The 25160-nt window shown below is 41.4% G+C and overlaps 1 protein-coding gene across 19 annotated transcripts in view; it reads right to left on the bottom strand.

Annotated features, from left to right (window-relative positions):
* SUGCT (succinyl-CoA:glutarate-CoA transferase) overlaps window positions 1-25160 on the bottom strand; it is a 903812-nt gene that overhangs the window by 827246 nt on the left and 51406 nt on the right. For 18 of the 19 annotated variants that reach the window (XR_007060157.1, XR_007060158.1, XR_007060156.1 and 15 more), the window contains exons 4-6: window positions 22991-23076; window positions 21977-22027; window positions 16511-16631 (exon numbers count right to left, since the gene is read on the bottom strand). Coding sequence is in view for 16 of the 19 variants with exons in the window: in XM_047420840.1 (XP_047276796.1) it covers window positions 16511-16631; window positions 21977-22027; window positions 22991-23076 (258 nt within the window). In the remaining 3 variants the exon portion in view is untranslated. The remainder of the gene's footprint in view (window positions 1-16510; window positions 16632-21976; window positions 22028-22990; window positions 23077-25160) is intronic. The other variant, NM_024728.3, reaches the window with a different exon arrangement.

Below are 25160 nucleotides of genomic sequence, written 5' to 3'. Positions count from 1 at the left end.
AAAGCTTATATTCAATAATCTCCATGCCTCGTGTATGTAATAAATAATTCAAGTCTAAGGCCAGCAAGGTGGCTCATGCCTGTAATCCCAGCAATTTGGAGGCCAAGGCAGGGAGATCACTTGAGGCCAGGAGTTCAAGATCAGCCTGGCCAACATAGGGAAACTCTGTCTCTACTAAAAAATACAAAAATTAGCCAGGCATGATGGTGGGCACCTGTAATCCCAGCTACTAGGGAGGCTGAGGCAGGAGAATCATTTGAACCCCAGAGGTGAAGGTCACAGTGAGCCAAGATCGTGCCATTGCCCTCCAGCCTGGGCAACAGAGCAAGACTCAGTCTCAATCAATCAGATCAATCAACCAACCAATAAAAGAGTTTGAGATCAGTCTGGGCAATATGGCGAAACCCCATCTCTACTAAAAATACAAAAATTAGCTCGGCTGGTGGCAGGTGCCTGTAATACCAGCTACTCGAGAGACAGGCACAAGAATCGCTTGAACCCAGGAGGTGGAGGTTACAGTGAGCCGAGATCACACCACTGCCCTCCAGCCTGGGTGACAGACTGTTAGATACGAGTTCTAAATTTCTTTCCAAAGAATTAATATGTCAGTATGTTCAATTCTTTGCCTTCTACTTTTAAACTTCCTCGTAAAGCAACCTTTTTGGATTACCTACACCACCCTGACTCATTCTGATCACCTGCTCCACCCTACCTTCCAATCACCTGCTCCACCCTAACTCATTCCAATTATCTGCTACCTGCTTTGCCCTGACTCCCGCCAAAGCACTCACCCTGTCATTCTCTTTAAATTAGCCAAACGGAATTAGTTTAGCCTGTGTGGTCTAACCCTAGCAAATAGGGGAACGACACAGTAGCAGGGGCCACATGCGTCAGGAATAAGAACCCCTTCCCCTTCCTTATCCAGGTGTGCGCTCACCATCGTTCCATCTGTAAGGGCTCACCCTTCTATATATAAATAACTTGCCTTGCTGAGAATTGAAAAGAAAATTTTATATTCGAGTGCTATTTCTTATACAGCACCAAAACTTTATATATAACAAGACTGTCTCAAAATATATATATATATACACATATATATATACACACACACACATATATATGCACATACAGCTTAATGGAATCATTGTATCAATATGTTGGGTTTGAAACACAACTGAGGGTGTATAGCAGGCAAAAACCAAGGTATGGTAAAGAAAGAAAAGTAGGCCAGGCGTGGTGGCTCACATCTGTAATCCCAGCACTTTGGGAGGCCAAAGTGGGCAGATCACAAGGTCAGGAGTTTGAGACCAGCCTGGCCAATATGGTGAAACTCTGTCTCTACTAAAAATACAAAAAAAATAGCTGGGCGTGGTGGCACATGCCTGTAATCCCAGCTACTCGGGAGGCTGAGGTTGCAGTGAGCTGAGAGCATGCCACTGCACTCCAGCCTGGGTGACAGAGCAAGACTCTGTCTCAAAAAGTAAATAAATAAAATTAAATTTTTTAAAAAAAAGAAAAATAGAAAATTCAAGGTATGAGGATGATAAGAGAACATGTCAGATTCTGGATGCATCTAACTAAGGTGAAGATTTGTCCCACACTACTATTTGGCTTTCCTTGGAGAGCTGTAAGAAACATGATGGAACTTTCTAGATGAACTATGTAGGGGAAATGTGCCTTCCTAGAAAAACTTGGGCCAAAATATTTCATTTCTTGGATTGAAATTTTAAAAATAATTATAAAATCTTTATTCTTTTGTTTGTTTGTTTTGTTTTGAGATAGAGTCTCACTCTGTCACCCAGGCTGGAGTGCAGTGGCACGATCTCGGCTCACTGTAACCTCCGCCTCCTGGGTTCAAGCAATTATCCTGCCTCAGCATCCCACATAGCTAAGATTACAGGCATGCGCCACCACACCTGGATAATTTTTTGTATTTAGTAGAGACAGGTTTTCACCATGTTGGTCAGGCTGGTCTCGAACTCCGGACCTCAGGTGATTCAGCCGCCTTGGCCTCCCAAAGTGCTGGGATTACAGGCATGTGCCACCGTGCCCGGCATGTTTGTTTTGTTTTGTTTGAGACGTAGTCTTGCTCTGCAGCCCAGGCTGGAGTGCAATGACGAGATCTGGGCTCCTGCAACCTCCACCTCCCGGTTCAAGCAGTTCTCCTGCCTTAGCCTTCTGAGTGTCTGGGACTACAGGCAAGTGCCACCACGCTCGGCTAATTTTTTGTATTTTTAGTAGAGATGGGATTTGGCCAGGCTGATCTCTAATTCCTGACCTCCTCAGGTGATCCTCCTGCCTCGGCCTCCCAAAGTGCTGGGATTACAGGCATGAGTCACGCCACCGCATCCGGCCCTTTATTCTTATTTTGAAGTAACATCAGCAACTCTCCTAGAACTCTCCTGATTATAACTATTCATTCTATTAGACAAGTCTTCTCTCCAGAAAGCACCAACTGAAACTCCCATCACTCATTCCTCTGAGTATTTCTTAGACAATTTTAGGAATGACAATTTACAATGGAATAACAAAATATGGTGAATAGCAGTAAGAATCTGAAGATGTGTATGGAATAGAATTTTGAGGATAAAAACATGAAATATTGGTCAAAATTTATTATTAAGCAAATAACAAGTATGTATCCTATACTGTACTAATTGCAGCAGATTGAAAAGAAAAACAAAATCCTTAAAATAAAGGGCTTTTAACTTAAACATGTAAGAATCAGTCGGGTGCAGTGGCTCACGCCTGTAATCCTAGCACTTTGGGAGTCTGAGGCGGGCGGATTGCCTGAGCTCAGGAGTTCGAGGCCAGCCTGGGCAACACGGTGAAACCCCGTCTCTACTAAAATAAAAAAAATTATCCGGACATGGCGGTGTGCACCTGTAGTCCCAGCTACTCAGGAGCCTGAGGCAGGAGAATTGCTTGAACCCGGGAGGCGGAGGTTGCAGTGAGCCGAGATCGCACCACTGCACTCCAGCCTGGGCAACAGAGCAAGAAAAAAAAAAAAGAATCAATTTATTCTTGAACAAGAGAATATTTTACATATTCAATACCTAGTTGTCAAATATTTATTTGTATTTGTAGACCATGATCCAAGACATATTAAAACATTTTCTACTACTTGTGACATAGTAATCTGAATTTCTTCCATGGAATACCTTATAGTTTAGACTATTCTTTCCTTTTTTTCTCTACTTTTTAAAATTGTGGCAAAATATACATAACAAAAAAATTAGTTTTAACCATTTTTAAGTGTACAGTGCACCGGCATTAAATATATTCACATAGTTGCATAACTATCACCACCATCCATCTCCAGAACTTCTTCATCTTGGAAAACTGAAACCCTATACCCATTAAACACTAACTCCCGAGTCTCTCCTTCCTCCCAACCTCTAGCAACTACCATTTTACTTCCTGTCTCTATGAATTTTACTGCTCTAGGAATCTCATATAAGTAGAATCATACAGTACTTGACCTTTTCTGACTAGCTTATTTCACTTAACAAAATGTCTTCAAGGTTCATCCTTGCAGCATGTGTCAGAATTCCCCGCCTTTTTAAGGCTGAATAATATTCCATCATTATTGCTTATTTATTCACCTGTCAATGGATACTTGGGTTGCTTTGATGTTTTAGCTACTGTGAATAATGCTGCTATGAAAATGCGTGTACAAATAATCCTTCGAGGTCCTGCTTTCAATTCTTTTGGTATATACCTAGAAATAAAATTGCTGAATCATATGCTAATTCTGTGTATAATTTTTTTTTTTTGAGATGGAGTCTTGCTCTGGCACAATCTCAGCTCACTGCAGTCTCTGCCTCTGGGTTTCAAGCAATCCTCCTGCCTCAGCCTCCAGAGCAGCTGGGATTACAGGTGCCCGCCACCACGCCTGGCTAATTTTTGTATTTTTGGTAGAGACAGGATTTCACCATGTTGTCCAGGCTGATCTCAAACTTCTGGCATCGAGTGACCCACCCACCTTGGCCTCCCAAAGTGCTGGGATTACAGGCGTGAACCACCACGCCCAGCTTCCGTGTTTAATTTTTTTGAGGAATGTCCATACTGTTTTCCATAGGGGCTGAACCATTTTACATTCCCACCAACAGTGCACAAGGGTACCAATTTCTCTGTATCCTCACCAATACTTGTTGTTTCCCGGTTTTTTGATAGTATCCATCTTAATGGGGGCGAGATGGTAGGTATCTCGTTGTGGTTTTGGTGTGCATCTCCCTAATGGCTAATGATGTGGAGCATTTTTCATGTGCTTATTGGCCATTTGTATGTCTTCTTTGAAGCAATGTGTATTCAAGTCCTTTGCCCATTTCCTAATTGGTGGCTTGCTAGACTAGTCTTTCTTTTTTCTTTTTTGAGCCAGATCTTTGCTCTGTCACCCAAGCTGGAGTGCAGTGGCACAACATAGCTCACTGCAGTCTCAACCTCCCAGGCTCAAGCAATCTTCTATGTCAGCCTCCCAAGGAGATGGGACCACAGGTGCGCACCACCACACTTGGCTAATTTTTTTATTTTTTATAGAGTCAGAGTCTCACTATGTTGCCCAGGCTGGTCTCTATCCCCTGGGCTCAAGCAATCCTCCTGCCTCAGCCTCCAAAAGTGCTGGGATTACAGCCATGAGCCACTGTGCCTGACCAGACTAGTCTTTCTTATAATCAAATACAATCTGCCTTTTGTATCCATGGGTTCCACATCCATGGATTCAACCAATCCACAAATTGAAAATATTAGGAAAAAACTTGCATCCGTGCTGAAGATGTACATTTTCTTTTCTTGTCATTACTTCCTAAACAATAGGTATAACAACTATTTGCACAGCATTTACTTTATATTAGGTATTACAAGTAATTTAAAGATGATTTAAAGAATACAGGAGGATGTGCATAAGTTATATGCAAACACTATGCCTATCATATCAGAGATTCGAACATCCACAGAAGGTCCTGGAACTAATCCCTCATATAAACTTAACTGTACGTTTGCCAAATTTCTTAAACTTTGATATTTTTCACTTGAAAAACCTTTGTGCATAATATATTCTTTACAAGTTGGATTTCACTGATTCCACAATCTGGTATTCCATCAAAATCCCTGATCTTTCCAGGTTCAAACTATTACCTACTCCACATACTTTTAACCTTTGTGATTAAATATACTGAGGTTCAAATAAAAGGCTGAAAGTTGTGGTATTGCACTAATGCTAGCTTGAAGAAACATGCAAAGAATGGAAAAAATAATTAGCGAGATGAATGCTATCTAAACACTATCTGACATGTATGTTTTTATCCTTTTAAGTATAAAATTTTTTTCTTATCTAACATTGCTTCTTTAAATTTATGGATTTATTTCCCAGGCCTATTACCATAAGGGGAAACAATTCAGTTTTGATGACAGGGTTTTTGGATGGTGGCTAAGTCCTGGCATGTTTATCTGGCACGATCTATAAAACATTCAATTTGTGAAAGTTTTGAAATAACTACTGCTGTGACATTAACTAGTATTGTCATCTTTTTCCTTTTACTGGTCCCTAGTCTCCAAGAGATTCTTTAAATTGGAAACTATTCTAACCATATATCAGAAATTAGAGACCAAAGATGAAATCAACTGATTCTTAGTGGGTAATGATCTATACTAAATTTATACTGTATTTCTAGGCCCAGGCGATCTCTTTGCTTCTGGAATTTTAGAATATGTAGAAAAACAGCTCAATCTCCTGTTAAAGTTTTGGGTTTCTCTTTTTTAAATCAATAGTATCAGAAAAATAAAAATATCTGGGAATTGAAGTAGACCACATACATTTATGTACAAAGCTGTGTCATGAGAGGGTACTTGCATATCCCTAATTACACCCAGCAGAGCTCTTCTAAGATGAACAATTTTGTCACTTTTCTTTTTTTTTTTTTTTTTTTTTTGAGATGAAGTTTTGCTCTGTCACCCAGGCTGGAGTGCAATGGCATGATCTCAGCTCACTGCAATCTCCGCCTCCAGGGTTCAAGTGATTCTCCCGCCTCAGCCTCCCAAGGAGTTGGCATTACAGGCATGCACCACCATGCCCGGTTAATTTTGTATTTTTAGTAGAGATGGGGTTTCACCATGTTGGCCAGGCTGGTCTCAAACTCCTGACCTCAGATGATCTGCCCACCTTGGCCTCCCAACGTGCTGGGATTACAGGCGTGAGCCACCGCGCCCGGCCAATTTTGTCACTTTTAACAGAATGGGAAATCACTTCATCCATGTTCCAATCCAATACATTTTCCTTTTTCCTTTTCCCTTTTTATTTTTGTTTTGTTGTTTTGTTGAGACAGAGTCTTGCTCTGTCGCCCAGGCTGGAGTGCAGTGGTGCAATCTCGGCTCACTGCAACCTCCACCTCCTGGGTTCAAGCGATTCTCCTGCCTCAGCCTCCCCGAGTAGCTAGGAGTACAGGCACACGCCACCACGCCTGGCTAATTTTTGTATTTTTAGTAGAGACGGGGTTTCGCCATGTTGGCCAGGCTGGTCTCGAACTCCTGACCTCAGATGATCCACCTGCCTCAGCCTCCCAAAGTGCTGGGATTACAGGCATGAGCCATTGCACCGGGCCCTTCTCTTTTTATTTTTAAGAGACAAGTTCTCACTCTGTCACCCAGGTTGGAGTGCAGTGGTGCAATCAGAGCTCACTGCAGCAATCAGAGCTCACTGCAGCCTCAAACTCCTGGGCTCAAATGATCCTCCCACCTCCACCTCCTGAGTAGCTGGAACTACAGGCTTGTGTCATCATGCCTGGCTAATTTTTTTTTTTTCAAATTTTTTCTAGAGACGAGGTCTCACTATGTCACGCCGGCTGGTCTCAAACTACTGACCCTCACGCAATCCTCTTGTCTTGGCCTCCCAAAGTGCTGGTATTACAGGCATGAGTTAATGTGCCTGGCTCCAAGATTTTCTTAATCCCACAGTTTCATAAAGAATTCCCAGGCCGGATGCAGTGGCTCACGCCTGTAATCCCAGCACTTTGGGAGGCCGAGGCGGGCAGATCACGAGGCCAGGAGATCGAGACCATCCTGGCTAACACAGTGAAACCCTGTCTCTACTAAAAATAGAAAAAATTAGTCGGGCATGGTGGCGGGCACCTGTAGTCCCAGCTACTCGGGAGGCTGAGGCAGGAGAATGGCGTGAACCCGGGAGGTGGAGGCTGCAGTGAGCCAAGATCGCGCCACTGCACTCCAGCCTGGGTGACAGAGCAAGACTCCGTATCAAAAAAAAAAAAAAAATTCCCAAGTAGGCTGGGCACAGTGGCTGGCTCATGCCTGTAATCTCAGTACTTCAGGGGACCAAGGCAGGAGGATCACTTGAGGCCAGGAGTTTGAGACTAGTCTGGGCAACATAGTGAGACCACATCTCTACCAAAAAAATCAAAAAATTAGCCAGTTGTGGTGGTGCATGCCTATGATCCCAGCTACACGGGAGGCTGAAGCGGGAGGATCACGTGAGCCTGGGAAGTCAAAGCTGTAGTGAGCTATGATCATGCCACTGCACTCCAGCCTAGGTGACTAAGTGAGACTTTGTCTCAAAAAAAAAAAATTCACAAGGAAAACTGTCATAATGTTTCTTATACCCAGTAACAATTCAATATCACCTTTCAATTGATTTTTTATAGCAGGAAAATATATTTTTAAATTATATATACAGAAAAAGTTAACCTTTTCACTTGGGTTTAAATAGTTGAAAATCTACAACATTAGCCAAAATATGTTTATCTTATTAAATAGATATTCTTTTTTTTCTTTCTTTTTTTTTTTCTGAGATGGAGTCTCACTCTGATGCCCAGGCTGGAGTGCAATGGTGCGATCTCAGCTCACTGCAACTTCCGCCTCCCAGGTTCAACCGATTCTCATGCCTCAGTCTCCCAAGTAGCTGGGATTACAGGCGTGCACCACCACACCCAGCTAATTTTTGTATTTTTAATAGAGACGGGGTTTCACCGTGTTAGCCAGGCAGGTCTCAAACTCCTGACCTCAAGCGATCTACCCACTTCGGCCTCCCAAAGTGCTGGGATTACAGGCATGAGCCACTGTGCCCGGCTTAAATAAATATTCTATTTCCATAGTTAGAAACTTTGAAGACAGCTATCTCATGTTCACTCGACTTAATGTTAATCCTTACTACCTGAAAAACATATTTCTTCAGCAAAATTTGCTTTAAAGAATGTTGCAAAGAGACTCCTTCTCTCAGTTTCATCTGAGGCTTCAAACCCCCAAAAAATGTCCTAGTGCCAGAACACTAGCACAGATAACACTAAAAGATTATGAAACCAGTTTTGCTGCCATTAGCTTATCATCCATTTGAGGATATGTGAGAAAAGGTGAAAAGCTAAATAAAACCTTCAGCTGAATTTCCTTGGAAAGAGTTGTTATTGTATGCTAGGCATCTCATTCTGTCATAAGAGAGGAGCAAGCTGTTTTCCCCTTAACTTAAGCCACACAAGAGAGACTTCCAAAAAAGCGTCAGAGACCTTGATACAAGCTAAGGGAATTTGGGAATTCTGGGAATTTGGAATTACCTAAGCACCTGTGGCATGTGTCTGAAAGAATACCAAAGGCAAGGGGTTATGGCTACATCGGCTAAAAGCAACAGAGCTAAGAGTTCGGAATAAACTGTACACCTGCCAATGGCCAAGGAGGAGGGAGGATTTTTCCCCATGGGCCAAGTTCACCATGAGGAAAGCAGAAGGAGTTTATCTGAAAAGGAATTCTACCCATGAGGGCTGCCTATAGGACAAGGTGATCATAACAGATAGACTCTGTGTATAGACAACCACAAAAAACAGGGACTGAAGTGGGAGAACTACAATCTGAGGTCTCTGAGGAGACTACAAAACTCCCCATAAAGAGAGCCACCTACAGAACTTCAGGCACACAGAAGGCTCCACTGCAGGTTACAACTACACCAGTCAAGTCATACCCTTATTGCACCCTTTAACTTGCTTCCCTTCCCTGGGAGGGCCTGATTCTGAAAAAAACCACAAATAGCAGCTAACAATAGGAAAAGATGGATAATGAAGAAACTGACTAGGCTCTTCCGAAACACATAGACATGCAGACACATGCATGCATGTGCATACATAATACAAACACACACACATGCAACATATGTGCACCTGTAATACAAACACACACACATCCTCTTCACATTCCCAAGAAAGTAGCCTGAAGTTGGGGAAAAGGAGACGTCATAAACTGGACAAGAGTCTGAGGTTTTGATATTAGACTGGACTGAACATTTTAATACTTTAAACGAAATAACTGCCAGGCATGGTGGCTCACGTCTATAATCCCAACACTTTGGGAGGCCGATGCAGGAAGATCACTTCAGCCCAGGAGTTCAAAACCAGCCTGGGCAACATGGTGAAACCCCATCTCTACCAAAAATACAAAAACTATCCGGGCGTGGTGGCATGCACCTGTAGTCCCAGCTTCTCGAGAGGCTGAGGAGGAGGATGATTTGAGCCTGGGAAGCAGAGGTTGCAGTGAGCCGAGATCGCACCACTGCACTACAGACTGGGCAACAGAGCCAGACCCTGTTTCAAAAGAAAAGAAAAGAAATAACTGAGGAGAAAAAAAATCTATAGGACTTGCCTGGGATTTCATCTATGAGCAAAGAGAATAAGTGGACAGTGCAGGTTTGCAGAGGTGGGCTGGGAGAGAAGAAAGCATCTGGTGGTACTCCAGTAAGTCCAACTCATGTAACACATCTGTTATATGTGTATGGGTAAAAAGAAATATTTAAAGATAAAAGGTTATACTGTTGGGGAATAAAATAAAGGCATAAAGTCATTTTCTGGAATCAGTCCATGTCTACAGACAAAATATAATCTCAGTCCTTAGCTCCAAGGGCTGTGTTTTGAAACCCTATATTTATATGCTAAGTTTCTCTTCCCCTGCAGAGATGGTGTCATTATTTCTTTAAATAATGAGCTTAATATGAAATGGTAAATATGTCAAACCACACTTTCACTAAAGATCACTGTCTATACAGTTGGACAGATGGCCACAATATCCTGAAACTCTGGTGAAAAAATATTTCCTGATATAAGAGGGTGCAACAGAGACACTCATAATTTAGACCAGTAGTTTTCAATTGTTTTGACTATGAGGGTTCCCTTTAATATCATCTATTAAACTATCATCTCCATATTGATTATTTATTCAGTCTAAAAATGATACTTAATGCAGTGTGAACATCGCCAGATGAACTAGACTACTGTCTTTAGAAATTTTTAAAAAATCTTGCTGATTGTTATCCCATTTTACTCCACTCTGCCTCTCTTATTTTATTCTTCCTTCTCTTCTTCCTTTCTTCATTCCCTCCTTCCTTTTTCCTTCATTCCCTCTTCCTTCCTTTCTTATTTTCCCTCTCTCTAGTCTTAATGTCTTTTCTCACCTTCAAAACATCTATGAATTTGCAGTATGGATTTGCAGATCCTATTCTAATTATTCTATCTTTTTTTAAAGCTATAGTTATGTGGTGAATATGCCGAAAATAAGAACACACACACACAGACTAACTCATGCCGTAAGAATCCAACTGCAGCAGTGTTTTGTTTTGTATTCCCGTTGCTGTGATATGAATGTAGAATGCAGTTGCTAAATAATTTGCCTCATCCATTTGGGCTCACCATTCTCTGCTATTGACTCTGAAACACTATGAGGGCCTTTAATAATCTTTAAAAAATTATCTTTATAGCTACTCTGTGAAACCTGAGCCCCATTTCAATCTCCAATGCCTATAATGAAGTCAGTCAACCAGGAATTGAATTCTACCTCTTTTTTTTTAATCTGCATTCTACTGAAAAATCCTACTTCTTTTAAAGATTATGATCCTACCCCTCCACTGCTCAGACCCATCCTAGCATGTCATGGCCCCTGCACACCTCTGCAGTATCTTTTCAAGCATACTGCTCTCAGTTTTTAGTGTTCCAAACACTTCGGCTTTCTCTTAGATCCTTAAAGGCGTCTAGATCTTTCCTACCACGGAGCCTTTGCACATGGTATTCTCTCTGCCTCAATCACTTCTCCCCTTGCTCATTACATGGCTGGCTCCTTGTCATCCTTCAGGTCTCTTAAATGTTACCCCCCTCAAAAAAAAACCTTCCCTGACAAGCCCATTTACAGCATGCAACCCCTCCTCTGTTAATCTCCACCACAGTACTATTTCATTCTTTCATAATAGTATAGTTTGCTAATACATGTTGTATTTATTATATGTTTTAACTTGTTTATAGAATGTCTCTGACCTAGGCTGTCAGCTCCTTAAAAATGCAAGGACAATGTCTACATTGTTTGCCCTGAGCACTCAACACAGCCAGGAATATACAGAAGATCAAGAAATAGTTGTTTGGGGGTAGGAAAGGGAAGAAAGGAAGGAAATAAGGAGGGGAGCTATTTGGGCATTTCTGAATCTTTTATTCTCACTTAAATCATAAAATACAGAATGACGAATACTCATGTACCAGCCAGTCAGTTTATTTTGTGAATATAATTGAAATTCTGTGGTTCTCTCTTCCCTGTCCCATATCCTACCTCCCCACTCCCCAGGGTTAATCATTCTCTTGAATTTTGTACTATTCATTACCTTGTATGTCTTCATATTTTAAACACATATATTTTGTATGATTTTAACTCTATGTAATGCTATATAAATAGAGATTAAGGAAATGTCCCTGAGGAATTCACAAAAATAAAAAAGGCACTTTTCAAACCCTCTTCCTTTAAAAAAAAAAAAAAGAAACTTCATTAAATGACATGTACAGTGTTCCCACTACAAACTCAGTCTAGTCAATAATATAATGAAATGTTTATCCTTCCAGAAAGAAAGAGTAATGAAATTAACAAGAACAGGAGAAATAACATTTTAAAATGTAGTGGCGAGGATTCCTACTGCTAAATTTTTATAATTAATAACATGTTCAGAAGATACGAGGGAAAGAAGGTACAACTTAAAATTAAATTGTTAGGGGAAATACCATTGTACTTCTAAAAGTATAGAGAAATATAGAGTGGTCACTTCACAAATATAAATATGTCCTTCAGAGAATCTTCCTACCCAGTGGTACACAGGAAACACTGCCCTTTTCACAAAAATAATTCCTAGTGAATAATAGCTGTTTAAACACTGCCCCCTAATGTGCATACTCAGCTTCCTCTGAAATGATAAGAGGACCATGCTAATAAAAATAATCAGGTCCTTCCTCCCTTGTGATCACTCTAGCATTTTTGTCCTGCAGACCAGATTTCATAGACTGAGGCAATTTCAACCACACAACTGTCAGAGTGCATTAAAGTCAATCTCCCAGCCATTCTAAGATTACTCTCATCAGCAATAGGGCCAACATGTGAGTGAGAACAAACTATTTGGGCTTGGACAGCACTGACAAGAGAGCAATACCATTGGGAAATATCAGGAAAGTCTAGGATCTCAATCACAACATGTGCAACTTTAGACTGATGTAATCAGTCTTATTAAAAAAAAAACACACACACACAGACACACTGATTACCAAGAAAATCAAACTTTTTTTTTTTTTGAGGTGGAGTCTCACTCTGTCACCCAGGCTGGAATGCAATGGCATGATTTCGGCTCACTGCAACCTCTGCCTCCAGGTTCATGCAATTCTCCTGCCTCATCCTTCCAAGTAGCTGGGATTATAGTCACCCACCATACCCAGCTAATTTTTGTATTTTTAGTAGAGACGGGGTTTCGTCATGTTGGTCAGGCTGGTCTTGAACTCCTGACCTCAGGTGATCCGCCCGCCTTGGCCTCTCAAAGTGTTGGGATTACAGTCACCCACCACCATACCCAGCTAATTTTTGTATTTTTAGTAGAGACGGGGGTTTTGTCATGTTGGTCAGGCTGGTCTCGAACTCCTGACCTCAGGTGATCCGCCCGCCTCGGCCTCTCAAAGTGCTGGGATTACAGGCATGAGCCACCACGCCCAGCCAAGAAAATCAAATTTTAAAAAAAGAGATGAACCTTGCTTTATATGCACACAAACTCACAACTCATGAATGACTTTGGCTTCCAGAAGAATCTGTTGAAATTTAGACTCCCTGACTAATAAATTTGTTCATGACTTCCACTATTGCAAATAAAATTAACAAGCGAAAGAAAATGGCAAAAATATATTATTCTCAAGTAGCACTGTTCAGTGTCACCTAATTACAAAATCTGTCATTACTTATTGATATGTCTAAGTATGGAAAGCATAGAGGCACTTACTACTAAGACAAGAAGCCTGAGTTTTAAACCCATCTGCTATTAAATAGCTGTGTGACCTTAGGTCTGGATCTGTTTCATTATCAGGAAATAAAGGAGAACGGAGTATATAGATGTTATTCTAATAACTGTCAGGAGGTGGGAATTAGGAGATTATAGAATAATGAGAGGTACGTTTTCAGACTACACATATCTGCCTATCACCCTCTCATTCCTCCATAATATCACTAAAAAGCACATGATAGAACCATTCTTCCTTGTCTGAGAACTACTGAATTATATAATCTATCTCCAATGCCATTTCACCACACTAAAATTTTAATACAGAATTTGAGAACTGTAAGAAAACTTAGAGACTCTCCAATCATTAAGTCAAGGCCCAGAAGAACTTTTGACCCTAACCAGTTAGTTATAAATGTGAATCATTAGGAAGTGTGGGCTTCCCAAGTAGACTAACATTTTTTTTGACTCGATGATGTGATAAAATGTATTATTATTCTCAATTGTCATCCTGCTCGAAACCCACACCCTATGCCATGTGACTTTGTAGTTCCTCCCTCTGAAACAGAATGTATTTCACCACCCATTGGTATTGGACTTGGCCATGTGACTTGCTTTGACAAATACTCCATTTGTTAGCAGATGCATTGGGAGCACAGGCTTTAAACACACTGGTGAAAATGGGCTTGTTCTCTTGCACTCCACCTTTCCCTATGAGGGGAGATGCATTTGGTGGCCACTGATCCAAGGAGGATAACAGACATGCAGAGCATACCAGTCCCCCAATGCACAACTTGGAGCCAAACCTAACCAGTCTGTATCAACTGAATCCCAGCCAACCACAGACATGGGAAACAGAAATAAATGCTTATTGTCATATAGCATTTTGCATTTGTTGGCTATGCAGCGTTTTTATGGTAATATGATAATTCAGAAGATAATTTACCTATATTAAGATTTTAAACCTCAACATTTCCATTAGATTACAAGATTCTGATGGAAAAAAATCTCTCCCTCACTCTGTCACACATATAAATATTGTTTAGACAGAAAAATGAAAATATGATTATGGATCTATAAAACAGCACATTTTAAAAAGTGAGATCTAGTGGCCAAGAATCATCTACCAAGTACAGAACCTGTCATTCAGTACAAAAGTTAATCATCAGGGCCGGGCACAGTGGCTCACACGTGTAATCCCAACACTTTGGGAGGCTGATGTGGGTGGATCACTTGAGGTCAGGAGTTCAAGACCAGTCTGGCCAACATGGTGAAACCCCATCTCTACTAAAAATACAAAAATTAGCCAGGCAAGGTGGTACATGCCCGTAATCCCATCTACTCGGGTGGCTGAGGCAGGAGACTCACCTGAACCTAGGAGGTGGAGGTTGCAGTGAGCTGAGATTGCACCAAAGCACTCCAACCTGAGGAACAGAGAGATACACTGCCTCCAAAAAAGAAACTGCTGTTGGCTGTGGAACCCCTATCATGTGCTCTGCATTACAGGTGGAACTGGGAATAGAATAACACAATCACATAAGGCAAGGAGTTCAAGACCAGCCTGGCCAACATGGCAAAACCTCATCTCTATGAAAAACACACAAAAAATTACCCGGGTGTGGTGGCTAGTGCACTTGGTGTTGTCCTGCCTAAAACCCTCTTCGCCAGTAGCTATGTGGTTCACTCCTTTACCCCATGCAGGTCTCTACTCAAATGTCACCATATGGGTAGGGCATTCTCTCACCTACCAGTTTGAAATAACTTATCCTCACCCCACCCCCTTGCCAACTACCAGACTCAATTACCAAAAACAAAAACAAAAGTGCTTATTTATTTACTATCTATCACCCTAACCTAGCATATAAATGCTCTAGAGAGCACAGATGGATTTTTATCACTCCTGTATTCCAGAATCTGAGTCTATTGCCTGGAAGATCAAAGGCTTGCAGTAAATATTTGGTGGATGACTGAGTAAAAACTTAAAATATTATGAATTTTTCTGATGCAAACTATTAATATAACATTTTATGTTATGAGTCACTTTTCTCTATCGCATCCCTAATTAAGAGTTAAGTACTTATATAGAAAACTAAGTAACACCGTGACTTTTTCCCTTTAGCCTAAACATACACATACATGCATATATAAGAGGTTCACTGGCAAGGGCTGAACAATTGGAAGACTTTATGCCACTCTTTTCCTTCCTTTGGCTTAGTGCTTCTGAATATATTGAAGGGATACCTTGGGTTCCTATGTTATTATCTTAAAGCCAATTAACATTTCAACTGTAGGCCAGGAGTGATGGCTCATGCCTCTAATCCCAGCACTTTGGGAGACCAAGGTGGGTGGATCACTTGAGGTCAGGATTTAGAGACCAGCCTCGCCAACATGGTGAAACACTGTCTCTACTAAAAATACAAAAATCAGCCAGGCATGGTGGTAGGCACCTGTAACCCCAGACACTCAGGAGGCTGAGGCAGGAGAATCCTTTGAACCTAGGGGCAGAGGGTGCAGTGAGCCGAGATCATGCCACTAAACTCCAGGCTGGGCGACAGAGTGAGACTCTGTCTCAAAAAAAAAAAAAAAAAAAAAAAAGAATTGTTTTCAACTGTAAATTCACCTATGCAAGAGTTAATAACAGTATTTTGTAAACATTTGCAAAACATCAACATAAAACTTAGCAAAACTATAGGCAGACAATTCAAAGAAGAAATACAAATAGCCAATAAATTTATGAAAATATTCATTTAGGTTAATGTTTCTTAATAATGTTCAGCAGCCAAGGCCGGACGTGGTGGCTCACGCCTGTAATCCCAGCACTTTGGGAGACTGAAGAGAGCAGATCACGAGGTCAGGAGATTGAGACCATCCTGGCCAACATGGTGAAACCCCGTCTCTACTAAAAATACAAAAATTAGCTGGGCGTGGTGGCGCGTGCCTGGTAATCCCAGCTACTCAGGAGGCTAAGGCAGAAGAATCGCTTGAACCAGGGAGTCAGAGGTTGCAGTAAGCCGAGATCGCGCCACTACACTCCAGCCTGGCAACAGAGCGAGACTCTGTCTCAAAAAAAAAAAAAAAAAAGAAAAAAGAAAAAAGTAAGTTCAGCAACCTAAACGGCCTTGGAAAAAGGAAAACAGAATAACTTCCAAAAAAAAAAAAAGCCAGCAAAAGGTTTCTTATAGCAATAAGAAAACACAGAAACTGGAAAACCTTTTAACTGACAAGGGTGTGGGGTTGAAATACCTGTGATGGAACAATAGATGATGTGAGGAGCAATCTCGTCTATATCTTCATATCCCAGGCCCATTGCAGACAGTTTGCCAGGGACATAGTTTTCCACAAACACATCACAAACAGCTGCAAGCTGATGGAAGAGGTGAACATGAGTCAGACTTCCACTCAACAAATCCCCACATGATAGAATTTTAACTTTACACAATTGATTCTCCCTTTGTAATAGCTCAGAAAAATCACAGGACTGATGAAGCAAATTAGATAAACATAGAAGTTCTAGTCAACTACTTAAAGCATTACTGTCAGTAAAATAATGGCTATTAAAGTTTTTGTAAGTACATGTAAGTACATGCAGAATGGATTCTGCATCCTTCAAATGTAATAAATATCTAGACTACATGGTCTGTCCAAATAGATTCTCAAAAGATTAGGTAGAAAAATTAGAATGTAAGTACACTAAATCAATGAAAAACATTTTTTAAACCTTTACAAGAAAACTAAATAGGCCAGGTGTGGTTGTTCACTCCTCTAATCTCAGCACTTTGGGAGGCCAAGGCAGGTGGACTGCTTGAGCCCAGGAGTTCAAGATCAGGAGTTCAAGACCAGCCTGGGCAACATGGCAAAATCCCATCTCTACAAAAATTAGCCAGACACGGTGGTGCATACCTATGGTCCCAGCTGCTCGGGAGGCTCAGGTGGGAGGATCACTTGAGCCGGTAAATTGAGGCTGCAATGAGCCGTGATGGCGCCACTGCACTCCAGCCTGGGAGACTGTTAGACCTTGTCTCCAAAAACAGACCTAAACACAATATCTCTACTACTCAGCATCCCTATTATTATGTAATATTCCTCATTATAACATGCACTTAACGCACTTAAGCAGGATTCTGAAATGTTTTCACACCTTTCAGATGCATTCTTCCCAAAGAGTTTTAAATGTATTTAAGAACCACTGGAGTTTTTTTTCTTCAGGCTACTAAACTATAGCCCAGTAAACCAGGAACTGTCAGGAACAAAATCCAGATTGTGATGCCCAGACCGCTGTTACGGGAATTAGAGGACAATGCAGCATTGTAAACCTTAATTTTACAGAAATTTTACAAAAAATTGGGAAATTTTTTTCCCAAAATTTCAATTGTGACTACATACTTTTAAAAATGTTTTTAAAGGGCCAGGTGCAGTGACTCACACCTATAGTCCCAGCACTTTGGGAGGCCGAGGGGGGCAGATCATTTGAGGTCAGGAGTTCAAGACCAGCCTGGCCAACATGGTAAAACCCTGTCTCTACTAAAATTACAAAAAAATGAGCCAGGTGTGGTGGCACATGCCTGTAATCCCAGCTACTCGGGAGGCTGAGACACAAGAATCACTTGAACCTGGGAGACAGAGGTCACAGTGAGCCGAGATCATGCCACTGCACTCCAGCCTGGGTGACAGAGTGAGAACCTGCTTCAAAAAAAAAAAAAATCTTTTTTAAATAAATTGGCCGGGCATAGTGGCTCACACCTGTAAATCCCAGCACTTTGGGGGGCCTAGGTAGGCAGATCACTTAAGGTCAGGAGTTCGAGACCAGCCTGGCCAATATGGCGAAACCCTGTCTCTACAAAAACTACAAAAATTAGCTGGACGTGGTGGCACGTGCCTGTAGTCTCAGCTACTCAGGAGGCTGAGGCAGGAGAATCACTTGAACCCAGGAGGTGGAGGTGCAGTGAGCCAAGATCGTGCTGCTGCACTCCAGCCTGGGGCAACAGAGTGAGACTCCATCTCAAAAAAAAAAAAAAAAAAAAAACACAGTAATTGGCCAGGCCAAATAGCTCACACCTGTAATCCCAACACTTTGTGAGGCTGAGTCGGGGGGATAGATCACTTGAGGTCAGGAGTTCAAGACATGCCTGGGCAACATACCAAGGCTTCGTCTCTACAAAAAATTTAAAAATTAGCCAGGCATGGTGGCACATGCCTGTAGTCCCAGCTACACAGGAGGTTGAAGAAGGAGGACTGCTTGAGCCCAGAAGGTGGAGGCTGCAGTGAGCCAAATTCTCACTACTGCACTCCAGCCTGGGCAACAGAGTGAGACTGTCTCAAAAAAAAAAAAAAAAACACTACTACAAGCACTAAAGAAAATAAACTGCAGGCTGGCCAGGCACAGTAGCTCATACCTGCAATCCCAGCTCTTTGGGAGGCTGAGGCAGGTAGATTACCTGAGGTCAGGAGTTCAGGACCAGCCTGACCTACACGGTGAAACCCCGTCTCTACTAAAAATTACAAAAATTAGCCAGGCATGGTGGTGGGCACCTGAAGTCCCAGCTACTCGGGAGGCTGAGACAGGAGAATTGCTTGAACCCAGAAGGCAGAGGTTGGAGTGAGCCGAGATCGCACCATTGTACCCTAGCCTGGGAGACAAGAGCAAAACTCCACCTCAAAAAAAAAAAAAAAAAAGAAAGAAAGAAAATAAACTGCATGCTATATAGCAAAATTCTAATATTTTTGTTTCATCTAGGCATAGGATAAATGAGAGTTCATTATTCTTTCAACTTTTCTGAATGTTTTAATTTTTCATAACAAAATGTTATAGGAAAATAAAACTCATGCATTGCTCTGCTGACCATAACACATGCCCATAATAATGATATTGTAACTGTCAACTAATTAACATAGAAAATTGTCTGAAATATTGGATAAGACATGATCAGAAGTTATCAAATCATATTGCCACAATAATACTAAGTTTCATATAGGTTTTCTAGGCAGAGTTTCAGTTTTTACACAACCTGTTTTTGGTTAGCCTAGCTGACAAAGGAGTCATACTTTTTGAAGCTCTCATGTATCCAGCTGATTGCCTTGTGTAATACTTTGGAACTGTTTCTATAAACTAAACTCATTGTATTAGCAATCATAGCCACCAAGGCCTAAATGGAGAGGGGTTATTTTTGCTAATCCTTTTTTTTTTTTTTTTTTTTTTGAGATGGAATCTCACTGTGTCACCCAGGCTGGAGTGCAATGGTGCAATATCGGCTCACTGCAACCTCCGCCTGTCGGGTTCAAGCAATTCTCCTGCCTCAGCCTCCCAAGTAGCTGGGACTACAGGCACGCACCAACACGCCCAGCTAATTTTTGCATTTCTAGTAGAGACAGGGTTTCACCATGTTGGCCAGGCTGGTCTCGAAGTCCTAACCTCATGATCCGCCCACCTCGGCGTCCCAAAGTGCTGGGATTACAGGCGTGAGCCACCATGCCTGGCATTTTTTGCTACTCTTAAGGCCAGAAGAGAAATCTGTACCAGAAATATGAAAGACTAGAGAAAAAATAATTTTTCCTTTAGATAGTAAGATACATAACTTATTAATTGTAATAACTATCTAAAAGCAATTGGCTGGCCATGGTGGTTCCCACCTGTAATCCCAGCATTTTGGGTGGCTGAGGCATGCGGATTGCTTGAGGCCAGGAAAACAATTTAGAAAAATCAAACCAAGTTTCAAAAGAAAAACAGAAACAAACCTAAGTTATGCTACAGGAAAGATATGGGAAGAAAGAGTGGTAAGATCAGGATGATTTTCAAGTTTTGGGTTCAAAATATATCTAGTTAACGAAAATTCTAAATTGGCTGCATTGATCCAGCAGAACTAAAAAGAATGGTCCCTGATTCTGATCTTAATAATTAAAGATTATCTTTCAATAACTGAGACAGAGAACATAAAGCAGCAGCAGAGCAATTGAAGCTAAGTTAATGTTTTGGTAAAAAATAAAGTTTGAGGCCAGGCGCGGTAGCTCACGCCTGTAATCCCAGCACTTTGAGAGGCCGAGGCGGGTGGATCACCTGAGGTTAGGAGTTTGAGACTAGACTGACCAATATGGTGAAACCCCATCTCTACTAAAAATATAAAAATTAGCCGGGCATGGTGGCACATACCTGTGGACTCAGCTACTCCGCAGGCTGAGACAGGAGAATTGCTTGAAACCAGGAGGCAAAGGTTGCAGTGAGCCGAGATCGCGCCACTGCACTCCAGCCTGGGTGACACGGCAAGACTCTGTCTCTAAATAAATAAGTTTGAGACTTGGTTCTCTAACCAAATAGCCCTAAGTACAGTTGGCCCTTGAACAACAGGGGTTTGAACTGTGCAAGTCCACCCCTAGGTGGATTCTTTTCAACCAAACGTGGATGGAAAATGCAGTATTCACTGGATGCAAAACCCATGTACCCTGACAGGCAATTTTTTGTATAAGCAGGTTCCACAGGGCCGACTGCAGGACTTGAGTATGCACAGATTTTGGTATATGTGGAGGTTCTAGTAGAACCAATCCCCTGAATACAGAAGAATACTATACAACCATTAGATTCAACTTAAACCTTAACAAGGATGGCAAACAAGGTTTATCCCACATGATGAATCCAACATCAGGAACATAGGAATAATAATAGCTAATACCTCATGAGTGCTGACTATGTGGCAAGCACTCGTCTACACATTTTACAAAGACTAACTCAATTCTAACAACAACCCTAGAGAGTAGGTACTATTGGGCTGGGCGCGGTGGCTCACACCTGTAAATCCCAGCACTTTGGAGGCCAAGGTAGGCAGATCACTTGAAGTAAGGAGTTCGAACCAGCCTGGCCAACATGGTGAAACCCCATTGCTACTAAAATTACAAAAATTAGCCAGGTGTGCTAGTGCACACCTGTAATCCCAGCTACTCCAGAGGCTGAGGCAAGAGAATTGCTTGAACCCAGGAGGTGGAGGTTGCAGTGAGCTGAGATCATGCCACTGCCCTCCAGCCTGGGCAACAAAGCGAGACTGTTTCTAAAAAAAGAAAGAAAGTAGGTACTATTATTACCTCCAGTTTACTAATGAAGAAACTGAGACACAAAGAAGTTATGTAACCTGTCTGAGGTCATATAGCCAGTAAGCACAGAAGGCAGGATTCAAATCCCATGCAAAGGTATCCACCCTTAATTTAACCACTGTGCCTTCCAGCTCCTCTAAGAAAGATGCTCAGATCAGGTCTGGATATATTGGTCATCTGAGTAAGGGTTAGAGAAAGCTTGGACTTTCCAGTGATGTGACCCAGATCCAAATGTCAGCTTTTCCCCATACTAGCTAGGGAATCTTGGAGCATCACTTAGGCACCAGGAAACTCAATTCCCTTTTATGTAAATGAGATTTCAATACTTCATTTACAAGGTAAAATCTGAGGATTAGAGGAGATAATGTGAGCAAAGTGCCCAAGCCCAGGATTTGCTGCAGAGTTGGTGCTCAGTCAATAGTAGCTAGCACCATAATGATACACAATATACAAAAAATTTAAAGCACATCACACTTACAAAGAAGTATACAAATCAAAGTAAATACTTAAAAGGTATTTGTTGCAAACGTACAGATCACCCATAAAATTGAGTTTTAAAACACTTTTGCTCTGATATTCCAAACCCTAATTATAACCTAGGTGGTAGGATGCTTTCTATACATCATACTGTACCTCTTTGATGATTTTCACCCCTTTTGGATCCTTGATATTAACAGCAATACTCTAAAAATTAAAAAATATATATATATATATTATTTCGATGACCAAAACACAAGAAGCCCAATCCCCACCACTATGCAATATACCCACATAACAAACATGCACATGTATCCCCTGAATCTAAAATAAAAAGTAAAAAAAAAAAAAAGTATGTGTATTAAAATACTATCATAAAAGTTTTTCTTTTTTTCTTTTTTTACTTTTTGAGATGGAGTCTTGCTCTGTCACCCAGGCTGGAGTGCAGTGGTGCAATCTTGGCTCACTGCAACCTCTGCCTCCCGGGTTCAGGCGATTCACATGCCTCAGCCTCCCAAGTAGCTGGGATTACAGGCACACGCCACCACGCCCAGCTAATGTTTGTATTTTTAGTAGAGACGGGGTATCGCCATATTGGCCAGGATGGTCTCGATCTCCTGACCTCGTGATCCGCCCGCCTCAGCCACCCAAAGTGCTGGGATTAAAGGCATGAGCCACCGTGCCCAGCCATGAAAGTTCTTCTTATTGCTGACAAGAAAGCCATTCATATCATAGATCATCCTCTTAAATTTATTTTATGCATGAAGAAATATTTAAATCATCTTTACTGATTCTATTTACCATGAGGATATATTAATATGCTAACAAGGATGATAGGAGATGTTTTTAAAGTATAATACCGAGTGTTAGGCAATTATTCCCTAATAATAACAAATGTAAGGAATCAAATAATTTTTCTATTTCATAAAATTATTTCCATTATAAATTCTTATGAAATGTTCTAAGTTACTTAGTAGGTAAGAAAGAGTAGTAAAAAGCTCCATTATTTCTACTTAGTGAATGGTAAATGAATAGAATTTTAATTTATTTGAAATATTAGTTACATCTTAATTTTTTTAAGGAAGAAAAAAACAAGCCACAATGATATCAACAGTTTTGCTATTATAAGAGAATTACACACAAAAAGCAAAAAAGGGATGATATTCTTACTTTTTTATTTCGGTTAACACTGAGATAATATGTACTTTCTGTCCCAACAAAAGGTGGCCCCCAAGTTCGTGTATCATCACCAGCTCCTGAAAATAATAACATGAGCTATTAATCTTTGGGGTTTGTTTTTTTTTTTTTTTTTTTTTGGAGATGGAGTCTTGCTCTGTTGCCCAGGCTGGAGTGCAGAGGAACGATCTCTGCTCACTGCAACCTCTACCTCCTGGGTTCGGGTAATTCTCCTGCCTCAGCCACCTGAGTAGCTGGGATTACAGGTGTGCACCACCATACCTGGCTAATTTTTGTATTTTTAGTAGAGACAGGATTTCACCATGTTGGCCAGGCTGGTCTCAAACTCCTGACCTCAGGTGATCCACCCGCTTCAGCTTCCCAAAGTGCTGGGATTACAGGCGTGAGCCACCGCGCCCATCCATTTAAAGCAGTTTCTAAGTGACCTTGAAAATAAAAATAAAAATAGTACTACCAACTTCTAGAACTATAATTTCACTGTACCATCAATTGCTAAAACTAGCTGGGATTACAGGTACCCGCCAACATGCCCGGCTAATTTTTGTATTTTTAGTAGAGACAGGGTTTCACCATATTGGTCAGGCTCATCTCAAACTCCTGACTTCAAATGATCCACCCGCCTCAGCCTCCCAAAGTGCTGGGATTACAGGTATGAGCCACCGCACCCAGCCAAGAAGCATTAGTTCTAACTGGAGATAAACCAATGACATCTCCTGCATCAGCCTCCATAGTAACTGAGATTACAGGCGTGCACCACCATGCCCGACTAATTTTTTATTTTTAGTAGAGACAGGGTTTCACAATATTGGCCGGGCTAGTTCCGAACTCCTGACCTCAATCCTGACTTCAAGTGACCCAGCCGCCTAGGCCTCCCAAAGTGATCCCACTGCACCAGGCTAGTAGTTTATTTTAGATATTTGCACTCATATCTCAGGTGGAGATAATGTCAGGAGTCTAAACTGGAGGCCTACAGGCTTTCCTGATCTAACTGGGGTTTCAGAAGGCTCTGTGTCCATGGCACATGACAGGAAATGTATGGTTAAAGGACATAAACTGGAAAAACCTGCAGCTTGGGAGACATGTTTTATTTGACCCACACAATTCTTTTTTTTTTTATTATTATACTTTAAGTTTTAGGGTACATGTGCACAACGTGCAGGTTTGTTACATATGTATACATAAGCCATGTTGGTGTGCTGCACCCATTAACTCATCATTTAACATTAGGTATATCTCCTAATGCTATCCCTCCCCACTCCCCACACCCCACGACAGGCCCCGGTGTGTGATATTCCCCTTCCTGTGTCCATGTGTTCTCATTGTTCAATTCCCACCTATGAGTGAGAACATGCAGTGTTTGGTTTTTTGTCCTTGTGATAGTTTGCTGAGAATGATGGTTTCCAGCTTCATCCATGTCCCTACGAAGGACATGAACTCATCATTTTTTATGGCTGCATAGTATTCCATGGTGTATATGTGCCACATTTTCTTAATCCAGTCTATCATTGTTGGACATTTGGGTTGGTTCCAAGTCTTTGCTATTGTGAACAGTGCCGCAATAAACATACGTGACCTGCACAATTCTTAAAATTTTTAACTAGCTGCCATGATTTCAAAATCTGGAAATCTTTAAAAATTCACACTGCCTTTCTTAGATGACCTTTTGACACACTCATTCATTCAACAAATATTTAATGAGCACCAACTATGTCACAGACACTGCTCTGTGCAGAGCAGACACAGCAGTGAACAAAAGACCAACAGCCCTGGCCTCGTGTCCCCTAGTGGAGACAATGCTGAAATTTCAGCTGCATCCTTGCTCACTTCCCTGCTCACTTTCCTCACTTAGGTTCCCTGCCTGGCCCTGCAGGCACACAGATACACCCACTGACTGGCTAACTCTACAAAAAGAAGAGTATACATAAATATAATATGCTCTTTGGTTACACAAATAAAAATAATCTCATCTAATAGTAAATCAGAAAACTACAACCAGGCCAGATCCGGTGGCTCATGCTGGTAATCCCAACACTTTGGGAGGCCAAGGTGGGTGGATCACTTGAGGCCAGGAGTTTGAGAACAGCCTAGGCAACATGGTGAAACCCTGTCTCTACAAACAATGAAAAAATTAGCCAGGTGTGGT

The sequence above is a fragment of the Homo sapiens genome, chromosome 7, assembly GCF_000001405.40.
Source record: "Homo sapiens chromosome 7, GRCh38.p14 Primary Assembly".
In the NCBI taxonomy this organism is placed as follows: Eukaryota; Metazoa; Chordata; class Mammalia; order Primates; family Hominidae; genus Homo; species Homo sapiens.
Note: the sequence above shows the minus strand (reverse complement) of the source record. Positions and strands in the feature narration are given on the sequence as shown.